Source organism: Homo sapiens, chromosome 13 (assembly GCF_000001405.40).
Source record: "Homo sapiens chromosome 13, GRCh38.p14 Primary Assembly".
Classification (NCBI taxonomy): Eukaryota; Metazoa; Chordata; class Mammalia; order Primates; family Hominidae; genus Homo; species Homo sapiens.
In genome coordinates, this window is record NC_000013.11 from 23,752,755 (window position 1) to 23,768,252 (window position 15,498).

General features: G+C 42.1%; 1 protein-coding gene and 1 pseudogene across 2 annotated transcripts in view, besides 1 other annotated feature; both read right to left on the reverse strand.

Annotated features, from left to right (window-relative positions):
- Nucleotides 1-15,498, reverse strand: part of MIPEP (mitochondrial intermediate peptidase) — a 159,212-nt gene that overhangs the window by 22,566 nt on the left and 121,148 nt on the right. For both annotated transcript variants that reach the window (NM_005932.4, XM_011535097.3), the window contains exons 17-18: nt 7,342-7,463; nt 3,791-3,864 (exon numbers count right to left, since the gene is read on the reverse strand). In NM_005932.4, the coding sequence (NP_005923.3) occupies nt 3,791-3,864; nt 7,342-7,463 (196 nt within the window). The remainder of the gene's footprint in view (nt 1-3,790; nt 3,865-7,341; nt 7,464-15,498) is intronic.
- Nucleotides 285-394: an enhancer, noted in NCBI's record as "active region_7462". NCBI's record gives its function as "activates an Ori minimal core promoter by ATAC-STARR-seq in GM12878 lymphoblastoid cells {active_cell/tissue: GM12878}" and the evidence as "EXISTENCE:reporter gene assay evidence [ECO:0000049][PMID:35858748]".
- MTCO3P2 (MT-CO3 pseudogene 2) lies at nt 13,180-13,350 on the reverse strand (annotated as a pseudogene).

Sequence of the window (15,498 nt, forward strand, 5' to 3'; positions counted from 1 at the left end):
TGTGTTTAGTGGAGGATTAAGTGACTGAATGTCATGCCTATAATATATATATTTATGTAAGCTATGAATGTGTTTAAAAATAGACAAGGCCATACTGTCAATCTGCAAAGCTACTGCCACACGTCTGTACACACACCCCACCCCCTTCAGAGATTAAAAAAAGGAGAAGCAGATTAAAAAGAAGTGCTTTGGGCCAGGCAAGGTGGCTCAGGCCTGTAACCCCAGCACTTTGGGAGACCAAGGAGGGTGGATCACCTGAGGTCAGGAGTTCGAGACCAGCCTGGCCAACATGGCAAAATCCCGTCTCTACTAAAAATACAAAAATTAGCTGGGCATGGTGGCACATGCCTGTGGTCCCAGCTACTCAGGAGGCTGAGGCAGGAGAAGTGCATAAACCCAGGAGGTGGAGGTTGCAGTGAGGGGAGATCGTGCCACTGCACTCCAGCCTGGGCAGTAGAGACTCCATCTCAAAAAAAAAAAAAAAAATAATAATAATAATAAGACAAAAAAAGAAGTGTTTTGAAGTCAAATCACATTTTACCTCCCGCAAGGAAATTAAGTGACTTTCCTAAGTAATTTATAGACAGTAAGTAGCAGAGTCACTGACTGCAAATCCAATTCTATTTCACCATGTGATTGCTTTCTTTCTCTGGGGAAGAAAATACTGTTTTAACCACTATTATGTTGCCTTCAAATGGTATTTGGTGTGTTAGGCTTTTTAAGAAAGCCCCTGCTGCTGCAACTTGTCTTTTTTCCTGTGAGGATCACTCTATGTAAAGTTAAGTAATGGAAAACTTCTGAATAAATACCTTGCAGCCAAGAGTTAGAGAGCATAGATACATGGTTGCCTAGCAGTGGCCTTTAACTGATGAATGTAAAGCAAACATCAGGGAAAAAAGAAAGTAGAGGAATCCTGTGTGCTCAGGGACTTCCTTGAATAGGGTGTTGGCCTCTAGCTGGTGAGGACTAGAAATGGCCGAGGGACTCAGAGCTCTGAGCAGAGCCCTGTTCCCAAGGGATGACTCATTCTGAAAAAGACAAATAATCTAAAAGTTTGCCTATGTAGAACTTATTATTCAAAGATCAAAAGCATTCCCTATTTGACTTCTCTGAATTTGTATCATTCAAAGAGCACAAATATGAATACAAAGGTATTCTGACCCTAAGAAACACAGTCTTATAACTAAGGAGGTAAAAAAAAGTTGTGATTTGGTTAGGGAGGTACATAGTTTGAAGGCAGGTGTTCTATTTCTTTCCATTTTGCTATGTAATATAATTCTTTACATTTATCCAGGAAGCAGTTAAACAAAAATATATAAGGTACCTATAAAAAGTTACATTTTCATAGAAGAATACTGCCAACGAGATCCTGTATGCTTTTACATTACAAATCTCAGTAATTTCACCCATCACTCCTGGTAATACCCCAGTGTTAAGGCTGTGAGCCAACACCTAAGACCTGCTGTTTTGGGGTACAGACTGACTGCCTCCAAGAAAATGAGAAGCCACTACTATGGGTCTTAGCTTACAAATCCAGCCCTATGAAGTGACAACTGGCATAACCCTCTTTGCATGTCCCCCATTCATCTCTGACATGAAACAAATCATGTGAATTAATGAGATCTGACAGAACAGCATTAAGAAAAATATTAAAATGTAAAAGTAGAATTGTTCTATTGTTTGTGTTAACTAAAATCTGAATACTTAATCATCTCTGGTTTGAATGATGGACTTCTTTTTCTCTCATATGTGAATTTTAGTGCAGAAAATATTAAGTTTCTTAACACAAAATTGTTTTGGATAAAGAACAGAATTTTTGAGAGTTAGTTGCAACATTCTGGGAAGCCGACTAGAAAAGCACACCAGCCAAAAGATAAACACTGAAAAAGATTTACATTTTTTTCTTTTGATGGTATCTCCTATCAGCAAATGTTGAGGTGTAGCAGCATGGCCTGGGAAAGGATGAGCCAAGCACGGCTGCCAGGAACACACACCTCACAGAAACTCACCGCTTATTTCCGCCTTAGCTCGGGGTGGGCTGGCGCTACCAACCACCAGCCAAAAGTATACAATGTACCCAATCAGTAGCTTATTATGATGTGCCTATTGTTTCACTTTTGCCTGGGTCTGGAACAGACCCTGAACTAGATGTCCTGTCTGACAGTACAGGCAGCTGAAGAGCTTGGTCTGCTTGCTGCCTGAGGTCCTGGTTCAATCCCTGGCTCTTCCACATACTGCCTTGTTACATAAGCAGAGGGCCTAACCTGCTTATTGTCTATAAAACGGGGATCATAACTCCTACCTCATAGGGTTACTAAGAAGAGTCAATCAACAGATACATGGTAATCCCTAAAACCATCCCCAGAGGTGGAAAGTTCAATAAGGACCAGTAAGGACTAGCTGTAAATGATGGCTGTGTCAGCATGCACACTTCCTCACTCTTCACAAAGCTGATGGAATGAATGCAGTCTCCAAAAGAGCAGGATGTTTGTCTAAGCGTCTTTCACTACTTCACCTCTGGCACATGGAATCATGTCTGGCACATAATTAGCACTTCACAAATATTTGCTGAATAAATGAATGGCTGAAGGCACTGCACAAATATTTGCTGAATAAATGAATGGCTGAAGGCAAGAATCTGGAATTCTGCTAAAAAGGAGTACAGGCATTAGATTCAACAGTCTTAGGCAAGGAGACATTTAAATCACACTCATGACTACCCAGACACACTCAATTACTACAATGAAAACACTTCTCCAATATTGAAAGTTATTTCCTATATGCACTTTTTCAGATAGCCAGAAAACTTTTCAGATAGTCAAGCTCAGCTGCAAATATAACCATCAATATATTGCAATTATCTAGTAACATTCATATCTTCCTATAAATATTTGTAAGCATGTTTCAATGTTCTTATATTCATACATGAAAAATCATGATGATCACTTCCATTTACAATTAAATTTTCAGTAAAAATACTCAAATAAAAAATTACTGAGAAAATTACATAGAAAAAAAGAATTGTAATACCTTAAAGATATTAAGTTCTAATTTTTCAACAGGTAAAAAAACAAATCTAACCCAATGCCTTGGAATTTCTTGAAAATATGTAGTTTTAAACTTTCAGAAAAAGAAATAAAGGAATAAAAAATAAATGAGTTCTTTAGACTAAAAAAAAAACACTGTGACCTGTTAAAATCTAAAGGAAAATTTTCTAAGAGTTTATGACAAATAAAAAATTTTTCTATTAGAGTATAAGTAACACTTTGAAAGCTAAAACCTGAATCTTTATCCTGGTACTTGAATAAATCATGGCAACTAAAAATTAATTTACTTAGGACACAGTGAGACAGATGCTTAGAACACAATGCACAGCTAAGACATTTCTTTTTTATTTGCTTATTTATTTATTGTTTTGAGAAGGAGTTTTGCTCATGTTGCCCAGGCTGGAGTGCAATGGCACGATTTCAGCTCACTGCAACCTCTGCCTCCTGGGTTTAAGTGATTCTCCTGTCTCAGCCTCCCGAGTAGCTGGGATTACAGGCGTCTGCCACCACGCCCAGCTATTTTTTGTATTTTTAGTAGAGACAGGGTTTCACCATGTTGGCCAGGCTGGTCTCGAACTCCTGACCTCAGGTGATCCACCCTCCTTGGGGCCTCCCAAAGTGCTGGGATTACAGGCATGAACCACCACACCTGGCCTAAAACATTTTCTTTAAATGAAAAAAACATATGGAGAAAACATAAATCAGCTTTCATTATAGATGGTGCCATTTTGGTTTTGTTTTACCTTCAACCATGAGCATGGGCTCCCTGCCTCCACCGTGGGCCAGCATCTCCCTGCGATAGCGCTCCCCGGCAGCCCTGGGGAAGAGAGGTTCTGTTACAGACTCCTGCTTGCACAGCCTCCATTCACACTTGTCTTGAATTCTCAAAGAAAGCCACACTGATGCCATATTCATAAAAGCTGCCACCATGTGACAATTTGGCCCCTATTTTCTTGCTTCTAAAAATCAAATTCTGGCTTTTAAATTGTTCTAAAATAAATTAAATCAGGTGTGACATATTCCCTGTAAGAGGATAACTATACTTTTGGCTATCTGTTCTGTTAACAAGAGACCTCACTTTATAAAAATAATTAACTTATGTATTATACAATAGCTGTCCCCAATCTTTCTGGCACCAGGGACTGGTTTTGTGAAAGACAATTTTTCCACAGACGAGGGTTGATGGGGGAGGGATGGTTTCAGGATGATTCAAGAACATTACATTTACGGTGCACTTTATTATTACATTATACATTGTAATATATAGTGAAATGATTATACAACTCACCATAATGTAGAATCAGTGGGAGCCCTGAGCTTGTTTTTCTACAACTAGATGGTACCATCCAGGGGTGATGGGAGACAGTGACAGATCATCAGGCCTCAGAGTCTCATAAGGAGTGCCCATCCTAGATCCTTGTGAGAGGATCATAAGGATCACATGCGCAGTTCACAGTAGGGTTCCTGCTCCTATGAGAATCTAATGCTGCCACTAATTCAACAGGAGATGGATGGGGAGCGGCTGCAAATACAGATGAAGCTTCACTTGCTCACCCACCCACCACACCTCCTGCTGTGTGGCCCAGTTCCCAGTACCAGTCTGTGGCCTGGGGGTTGGGGACTCCTGTTACAGAATAAGTAAAATATTACATTTTATTCTCTATAAAAATAGTTTTGTGATTATTTTAAATGAGGCTTGAAATTATACCATTAAGAAATAATTTGTGATGGCACCTAATAAAGAAGAGAAAAAGAACACTCTAAAACAAGAGTGAAGGAAGAGAAGCTGGCAGGAAAAGGTTAATTACACCAGAAAACCTTGGTTCAGGATAACAGTTAACGGATCAGCAAACTCCACTGGAGTGTGCGGGTGATAAAGGCACAGTGGAGGCTGCCTTGTTCCCGTCTTCTGGTACTCTGTGTCACCTGGATATGCCTACCTGACGGAGTTCCACAAGGAACGCTGTTAATGACAATATGTGAAGGCAGGTTTGGAATAATTTTTGTAGACATAAATCCTCCAAACTAATGGGACCTGGAAACAAGTTATTTAGTACTACTCTTTTGTATTTTATGAAAAATGCAATTCCTTTAACATACATGACTACATACTATGATGAGACAGGTTAAATAAATTTTGATATTGTTTCCATTTGAGAAGCTCTGGAGCCTCTTTACATGTGGGTCATTTTGTGAACATGGTCTTTAATCAGACTTTTTGATAGCATTACAGTATCAAAAACATGCTGACATCAAACACTAGCCCTGGTCACATCCTGAAGTGAGTGCTAAGCGAAGCAGGAAGCCTGGACTGAGGTGGCGCCTCCCCTCAGGGGCAGGGGTGGCTGAGGGGCCCTGCCTGACTCCCGACCTGGGGTGCTCTGAGGCCCTTCTCAGCCATGGGATGTAGTGCCCTGACCCTAAATCAAATCCCTCCCCACAGGCCTCTAGCTCCTGGCTTGCCTCAGCTCTGCAATGCCTGGCTTTCTGATGTAGGCTCCAGCCTGGTTATTTCTCAGGAGTGAGATCAAAAAGGAGACTTTGACAGAGGTTAGAAATTTTCTAGTCTAGTGAGCATTTTTACTAGCTTACTTTAACATGCCCATAAAAGTATGGCAACTACATGTCTAGGCAAGAATGTACACATAAACAAGATATAAATATTTAGAAACGTATATATTTTATAGTATGTACTTTTCTAGTAAAGTATACTTCAAACAAGATGATATTTTGCCTATTTTACAGAAATCTACAGTAAAAAGTTATAATCCCTGAAACTGATTTACTGATGTCAAGTTTGGCTAAAGATCTTTTAAAAATAAAATCTGAAGAGCAGACCAAATGTCTACAGTCTGCAAAGGGCAGAAGACAAAATACATGTGAGTACCAAGCTGCAAAATATTTAAAAATTCTATGACATCACATTCAGACTCAAATAATTTGAAACAAATGTGATTATTAACTGCTGAGAAAAATCCAAGTCTAAGTCAAATTGTATGACAGACTGAGAGGGTGAGGTGGAGGTGGGAGGGAGAAAAAACCAGGAATGAGAAGACCTAGATTATAGTCTTAGTCCAGTTTTTAATGGTGAAGTCTGAACAAACTGTTTTCTCTGAGCCTCAGTTTTCTCTTATAAAACGTGCTGGTTTCTGCCAAGACTGCTGTGAATACTATGTGAAAACTCTAGGACACTCTAAAAACCAAGATAAAGCAGTAAAAATAGCACTCATCAGCCAAAGTTCCCTGAAAAGAATTTGGAGATGTAGTTATTTGTGTGGTGAGAAGATAAATGCTATAAACAACTCTGACACCAGATTATAATTACTGGTTTTCTTTCAAAGAAAGAGCCTTCTAAGGAATCATAGGACCCAAACTTGACAACGTCTTGGTTCCTATTGTTATAGGGATTCCTGTTAGGAGGATCAGGAGGCCAAATCAGGGAGCAAAGGGAAGATCTCCTACATCTCTCCAGCCAGCATGGGATCCTCTGCACCTCCCCAGACAGCACGGGAACCCTCGCACCCTTCACCCAGCACAGGACCCCCACGCACCTCTCCAGACAGCACGGGATACCCCACCCCCACCAGACAGCACAGGATCCCCCGCAACCCCTCAGCCAGCACAAGATCCCCATACCTCCCCAGACAGCACAGGATTCCCCACACCCCCAAGACAGCACGGGACGGGATCCCCCACACCCCCCTAGACAGCACAGGATCCCCTGCATCCCCCAGCCACAGCATAGAATCCCTCACACCCTCCAGGAAGCAAGGGATCTCCTGTACCTCTCCACCCAATGGAAGTTTAACCACTACCTGGCCTTTAGAAAGAGATTGGGAAAGCAGGACTACTGATCCTAGGCACCCCTACTTCCTCCCGACAATGCTCCCAGCCTCTCCAGTGCCTTGTTTTGCCTCCATTCTGTGGAAAGGGGTGGGCATCCCGTATCACGTGGTGAGGTCAGAAAAGCCAAGAAAACCCACAGGAGCAGCAGGGGCTGCTTCAGGTAGCACAGGAGCCCTCATACAAGGGTTCCCTCAGACACCACACAGCCACCTCTACACAGTGGCTGCAGGGTAGGGGGATGTCCAGGGCCACCGGTCAGCTGCGGGAAGCAGGAGCAAGCTTGGGTGGGAATGGCCAAGTGGGGCGAGGCTGTGTGGGGAGCCTGCCACTTTCTGCCAGGTTTGGCTGTGTTATGTGGGCTGCAGTTCTCGAGCCCGACTTCCAGATGTAATAGAGTGGGGAATTACTGTGGTCCAAGATGGGGACATTTTAGAACTTACCCCCTTACCTGTTGAAAGGATCCTGTAGAAAACACTCCTTCCAAACCATGGAGGCGACCGCTCTGGACATGAGGTAAGAGTAATATCTAGCACCATACCCCACGAGGTGGCTGAATCGCAGCTGCCAGGCCTGCCAAGAACAGAGAGACACAGCACGGGACACAAGTCAGTTTCCACTTGGAGAATATCACATGTGAGAACACAGTGGAGACACAGAGAGACCCGTAAATGCTTTCATTTGCATTTTACCCTAGAAGGCTACGTCACCTATGATATCAATATTTTCACATTTTATACACTGTTAGGGCTGAACTGTGTCTCCTGAAAATTCACATGTTGAAACCCAAAGCCATACCTCAGAATGTGACTTATTAGGAGACACAGCCTCCAAAGACGTGATTAAGTAAAAGTGAAGCTCTTAGACTGGGCCCTTGCCCAAACTCACTGGTATCTTGGAAGAGGAGGAAAGGTGGATGCCAGGGTGTGGGCACAGAGGAAAGGCTGTCTGCAAGCCAAAGAGGCCTCGGGAGAAGCCAGATCTGCTGACACCTTGGTCTGGACTTCCAGCCTCCAAAACAGTGGGAAGTAAATTTCTGTTGTTTAAGCCACATAGTCTCTGGCATTTTGTGAAGGCAGCCTTAGCACACTAAGACATACACAAAGAAAATTTTGTATCACATAAATATAATCATATATAGATGTATATGTTTTGCTCCAAATATATGGCTATTCTTCTTCATTAAGTGAGTTTAATTACACTGATTATAATACATTTTATTTCACATGACTATCTACAAAAACAGTAAAGTCAGGAGTTTATTTATTTTTAATAATTTAGTTAGTTCAGAGAGTTGTACTCTGCAATGATTCTCTGTTGCATGAACTGCTTTTCATGAACTAGTTTTTGTAACACAAAAACCTTCCATGTTTTTACCATAATTACATTTTATGACAAAACAAAAAGTCACAGAGCAGAAGAAAAATGGGACAGAATTTAAAAATCATTACTATACAAAGAGGGGTAATCTGGGAATGCATTCTTTTTTTTTTTTTTTAAGAAGAGACAAACGCTAAGAACCAAAGATAACCACCAGCAACTTGCCTCTCAGTGGAAGAAGGGTGAACAAACTGTTGTCCCTCCTTCTCTAAGCTCCTTCCACTTATTTTCTAATCATAAGAAGGAAGAAGCGGACACCTAATTGTTTTGTACAAGTTCATCACTTTGGGATTCACTTCTGTGACAGAAACGTAAAGACAGCCTAGAGACGGTGGCAGGAGTGCCAATGGTGGAGCCGGGTGGAGGTGCACATCTGTTCTGACCCACTTGGAACGCCTGGTCATCAACATTGGAGGAGAGAATTTGGAGTCTGGCACAGAGAGAGAGCATCCATTCTATCTCAGGACAATGTAGTAGTTATGATAGGAAAAGCCACATGGATTTTCATGGAAGGACACAGTTCCACTGGAAACTTCTTTTCCTACGAATACTGCTCTTTTTCTGTTGCTAAAGTGGAAAACATCTCCATTCCAATTCATCAGCAGGTGCAGGGCTATGCAAGCACGGCACACGAGCTTGCGATGGTATATCTGCTGTAACGTCACCCCAGCCAAGGCTGGGACTATGAAAACTGTCCTCAAAGGCTACACTTAGGACTTTAACATTTTTACTTTTCTGAAACAAATCTGACACAGCAATCATCCACTTTCTTCTGTCTTTATCTGACATAAACATTTCTTTTAAAAAACAGAAGCTTGGGCCGGGCACAGTGGCTCATGCCTGTAATCCCAGCACATCAGGAGGCTGAGGCAGCTGGGTCACTTGAGGCCAGGAATTCGAGACCAGCCTGGCCAACATGGTGAAACCCTGTCTCTACTAAACATACAAAAATTAGCCAGGCGTGGCGGCACAAGTCTGTAATCTCAGCTACTTGGGAAGCTGAAGCAGGAGAACTGCTTGAACCCGGGAGGCGGAGGTTGTAGTGAGCTAAGATCGCACCACTGCACTCCAGCCTAGGCGACAGAGCAAGAATCTGTCTCAAAAAATAATAATAATTAAAAAATAAATAAACAACTTTTTTAAAAAGCTTAACTTTTTTTTTAACCATGATAACAACACTCTTTAACAAAGCTGTTAACTCCCCAGAAAATAAAGAATAAACAAAGTATAATCCTTGCTACAACTCTATAAACTAGATAAGTGAATTCTAGTTAACATATCAAGGAAGAAACATTTTTAAAAATATGGTTACTTCATCACAGGAACGTGGCAGCATACTCCCTGTATTCACTACACAGTGGCTTAAAAGACGCATGGCAATGCTAGTGACTCTCTGGTTATGTCCGATTCTCCAAGACAACTAATTTGCTTGGGCTCGGCAAGGGCTCTGTCATAAGGAAGGTGTGCAGGAGCACTGCAATCAATTTAGGACATGGGGGCAGCACCTCAGAGACACACTGCACCTCCACATCCGTTCTCCTCTTTCTGTAAGAAGATATGATTGGAAGTCAGGTGGGCGCCTTGTGAGTGGTGTCCTGAAGGAATGATCCATGCCCCTTCCTCCTTGGGGATGCAGCCAGTCAGAAGTGTGGGCCTGTAATGGGGCAGCCGCCTCCTGTGCTGGGCAGGGGCACTTGCACGGCTATTGTTTTGGGTCTCTTGCACAGCAACTAGACCTGTATCCCTACCTCACAGGATACCCCAACTTCAGGCCCAAATGCCACCCCCAAACAGTACCATGAATACACAACCAACAGCGGGGCTGAGGCTGCTGGAGGTGCAACAGATGCCATGCCCTTGGTAGAGCTGTGCCCTAGGTGGGAGGAGCTGGACACTCAAAATGTGGCCTGCACAGTCTTTTGCCAGCAAGGTCCCTCCAGCATAGTGAAGGGCAGAGAAAGGTAGACACGTACTTTTCATCCTATTAAGATGCAAGTGCTATTTAAAACGAAAGCAAAGAGACTAGGACCATCTATGAATTAAATTCTAGTATAACAAACTTTGAATAACTACATTTTTAGTCAAAAGGCTTTTAGAATTCGTTTACAACATATACACAGTCCAATGTACTCTGTCTTATTTAAAAGGGGTATTTGTCAGTTTTTCTTTTTATGCTGGAATCCTAATCTACTAAATGATGAGAACTCATGGACCACTGGTAGCCTTTCTCGTATGAAGCAGTTTGGATGTGAGGGTATCTTCTGTAATGGAATACAGCCTGCTGTTTTAATCTGATACTCCAACAAGATACGAGCACTTGTACTACTGATGATAAGCGTCTCTCAGGGTGGAAGCCCCGGAATTTGTAGCATACAGTTAAGGGGCTTTGTCTTTGAAACATTTTCTTCATGGTGATTTGCCAGAACTAGTTTGGCAGCCTTTGCAGTATAGAGCAGAGTTTAATTCTGTTTAGATTCAAGCTGAATACAGCTTTGTTTTATCTTGAAAGCAGGCCCACTTCAATAGTGGCATTTGATCTGAGCTAAGAAATGTCTTAAGTTCCCTGGTTTCATCAGCTCATAACTGAGTTCCCACATCCCCCATAAACAGAGTTATAAAAATAAGACCTTTCAGAATGGTAGAAAGAGACATCAGGATTTGTGCATGCATCATTTCCTAGACAGCCAGGGGTCTGCCTTATCCTGATCCCCCTGCCTGAATCCAGGTCTTCTGGCACACACATGCCCCGTTGTGTCTTGCTCTTTAATTACAGGTTTGGGTTCAGGACTACACCTCAAGACATGCTAAATAAATTATCTCCACCTGACACCTTTCATCATAGGTTTGCAAGTCTGTGGCTAAGACCTACAATTCCACTGTTGTTTGAACACAATTGCTGAATTCCTGCTAATTCAACCTAATATTAAGTCCTTATTACCATTTCACTCATTCATCTGGAAAAATAAAATATAGCATTTCATCTTAAGCGCTGGAATTATGATATCCTCTTCCTTTTAAATTGAAGTTTTCTTCTTCCTAAGGGATATTTGTCAGATGGATAAAAGCTTTCACACTTCCTTCAGGATATTTAACGTGTGGATCTGATTTCAAAAGCAAACCATGCAAACATCTTTGTAGTTTTCCTTTTATTACGGTGAGAGACATAGATTTTCAAATCCTATTGCTGTCCCAAGGCATGCCTATTTAAACCTTCCTTGAGTTACATAATCTCAGTGATCCCATACGAAAGACAAAACTTGGAGCCAGCAAAGCAGCCTGTCAGGAAACCCATGGATATGGTCACTTGCTTTAGAACTTCAGAGAATGGAAGGCTCTTTGATCATTTTTACTTGCCTATAGCCCTACTCTAATGCCACGATTTTCCAGGGCCGGAAATGGAAAGGTAGCAATGAGCCATTTACTTACTATCTATTTTCAGTTTCAAACACAGAACAGGGGCTAGTGCAGAGCAAGCACTCAGTAACTGTGTGCTAGATATGGAATAACGGAACTAACCATTTCTCCCAATTATACTCTTTTTAAATTTTTTTAGAGACATGGTCTCACTCTGTGACTCAGGCTGGAGTGCAGAGGCATGAGCATGTCTCACTGTAACCTGGAGCTCCTGGGCTCAAGTAGCCTCAGACCTCAGCCTCCTGAGTAGCTGGGACCACAAGTGTGCACCACCATAATTGGCTAATTTTTAAAAAAAATTTTTGTAGAGATGAGGGTCTCTCTCTGTTTCCCAGGCTAGTTTTGAACTCCTGGCCTCAAGTGATCTGCTTACCTTGTCAAGTGCTGGGATTACAGGTGTTAGCCACTGTGCTCAGCCAACTATACTCTTAAATAGTATACCATTTCTTCATGTCCAGCTATAAATGTAGAAATGCTTTAGCTAAAATTTATTTTCAAATGATTTTTATCACTGGAACATTATACAGTTGACTCTTGAACAACACAAGTGGATCCACTTATATGTGGATTTCTTTCAATGAATACAGTCGAATACATATTGGCAGGTTCTGCAACCACAACCAAACGCAGGTGGGAAATACAGTATTTCAGGGATGTGAAACCTGCATCTATGGAGGGCTGAATTTTCCTGTCTGCAGGTTCCACATGGCCAATCACAGGACTTGAACATGCTCAGATTTTGGTATCCATGCTCGGGGGGTGGGTCCTAGAACCAATTCCCCACAGATGCTGAGGGTCACTATACAGTAGTCCTCCCAACTCAAGTGAAAAGGTAACAGCAGCTTTCCTATCCACAGTTTCAGTTACCTATGGTCAACTTCGCTCCAAAAATAGGCAGGTGTACCATAATTACATATTTTGAGAGAGGGAGACACCACATTCATAAAACTTTTATTACAGTACATAAGTTGTCCTATCTTATTGCTGTTAATCTCTTACTGTGCCTAATTTATAAATGTCACTTTATCATAGGTATGTATGTATAGTATATATAGAGTTCAGTACTATCTGTAGCTTCAGGCATCCACCTGGGGCCTTGAAACATATCCCTTGAGAATAAGCGGAGGACCCCTATAAACCACGAGTATAGAAATGCAACCTATTGCTCTGATGTGTGTTATAAACTTCCCAAGGGCATGGCCTACATATTGTGCCCATGTCTGGACTTACTGCAGTACTGGAAGCACAACGGGAACTCGACAGCAATCTGCTGAATGAATGGATGGACAGATGGACACCATGGGATTCTTTCACAATGACATTCAATGTTACTGACAACTGGACATCTGGCTGAGATGCAGAGTCCAGGAATAATATTTCTGGTTTACAAGACCGGTGTATTGGGTTGTACTACAAGGGCAGTTTCATTTAAGTAATTTATTTTCGACTAGGGAAGTGAGTGGTATTAGGGTAAGAATGGTAGTGAAATATATTAAATACATTGACTATATACCAATGATGATGTGACACTGTCTGAGAGAGTACATTTCAAGACCACCACACAACAACCATCCAAAAAGGCCTCTGATATGGAATAATCCTATTCATTATTTCAGAAGTATTTTTCTTCGCCGGATTCTTTTGAGCATCTACCATATCTGTTTTGCAGATAAGAAGATACTATGGTGTTAAAAACAAATTTGGATCTTAGGCTGTAAATGATTTTTAAAAATAGTTCTTTGACTACATTATTTGATAGATGATGTAAGGTTTCTCAGGCTAATTTTGGTACCACATCTCCAGGTCTGGATCATGCAGAGAATCTGAGTAGGGCTTCCTAGAGTATGTTATCTCCTTCAAGCCTTAGAGACTCTAAACAAACAATGGGCTAGTAATACTGTATGAGCTCATATAATCTTGTTGTTCACACTTGCACCTGTTGTAATCAGGATAACAAGGCAGGAAGAAGCAAGTTCCTGAGCTCGTCTTCATAGAAAGACCATTTTGAGTTCTCACATTCTCTGTGTACAATATCACTGGTCTGCTAAAAAAGATACTCCAGAAGTGTTTAACGATTTAACCACAATGTAGAGCAGAGGACATATCCTTCTATTTGCCTCACACATCCATGCTCTCTCTCTCTCTCTCACTCACTCTCTCAATGTGTGGGCATGTTCCATGCATCACTGGAGACTAGTGCTTCTAACTGATAAAAAGTCCCTACTGACAGTTTACCAAAACCCATGAAATAACAGTGCCCAACAGACAGGAATTCTCCATTTGGAATATAAAGTGTTGTTAAGTGGAACAGTTATTGTGGTGGACACACTCTCAGGAGGCCCCCATGACCCATCCTCCTGATGGTCACACCTTTGTGGAATCCCCTGCCTTAAATATAGACAGAAGCTGCTCCTTGCTCCTAACCAACTGAATATGGCAGTGGTTCCGGATGTCACTCCTGTGAATACATTGTGTTATCCATGATGTCTCCATCTCGCTAGCAAGCTCACTCTAGAACACTCCTTGTTAGCTAGAGGAAGAAGGTGACCATGTTGGGAAAGCCCACTGTCAGAGGTCTGGGGGAGGACCCTGGAACCTGGGGGGCCCTCTAGGACCTGTGGGTAGCCTAGAGCCAACCGGTAAGAAGCCTGTCCTCAGTGCTATAACTGTAGGACATGAATTATGCCAATAACCTGGGTGATGCAGCCAAGCTCCCAGATGAGACTGCAGCCCTGCCAGCAACTTGCCTGCAGCCTTGTGTGACCCCCAGGCACAGCAAGCAGCTACACTGTGTTGACTCCTGATCCAAACCAACTGTGAGATAGGCACTGTTTTAAGCCACTACATTTGTAGAAATTTTTATACAGCAATTGAAAACTAATACCAATATCTATTTTTTTAAATGAGACTTAGGTTAAAAATACTATTTTGAGAATAAACGCCTGCAAATATGGAAGGTATATAAAGATATACCTTGTGTCTTTGTGAAAATGTTTGAAGGGCAGTATCTTTGTAAATTTTTTTTTTTTTTGAGACGAAGTCTCACTCTGTTGCCCAAGCTGGAGTGCAGTGGCACGATCTCGGCTCACTGTAACCTCCACCTCCCAGGTTCAAGCGATTCTCCTGCCTCAGCCTCCCAAGTAGCTGGGACTACAGGCACGTGCCACCATGCCCAGCTAATTTTTTTGTATTTTTAGTAGAGACGGGGTTTCACTATGTTGGCCAGGCTGGTCTTGAACTCCTGACCTCGTGATCTACCTGCCTCGGCTTCCCAAAGTGCTGGGATTACAGGTGTGAGCCACCACGCCTGGCCCTTTGTAAATATTTTTTAATTTTTTTTTGTAAATATTTTACTAGCTTATATTTTATAAATAGACTTGAAAAGAGCGATTTGCCCAAGGCTACTGGCAGAGATTAGTAAGTGTTCCTTCCTTCATTTTCCCCTTTTTCCTTTTAGAAACAGAATAATACCCTTTTCTTGCTAAGTGTGAACAGGACTCTCGATTGCTGTGGCAGTGACTGCATTTCCCAGATGCCCCGAGGCGTGTGGCTGTGCGACTATATTCTTGAAAATGGCTGTGAGTAAAGGTGACGTGTGCAGCTGGGTTCTGCAAAAGGAAGCTACTCGCCCTCCTTGTCCTCTTTCTCCTTTCCTGCTAGCTTTGAAATGGTGAAGACTGGAATCACCACCTTGGACTCAAAGGTGAACACCAGATGCCAGATGTTGATGAAGCTACCAGCTCACTGGTTCTATCTGCTAGCTTGATAGGCAAGGGGAGGCCAAGTTTACACCCGGCTTGATTTTACATCACTA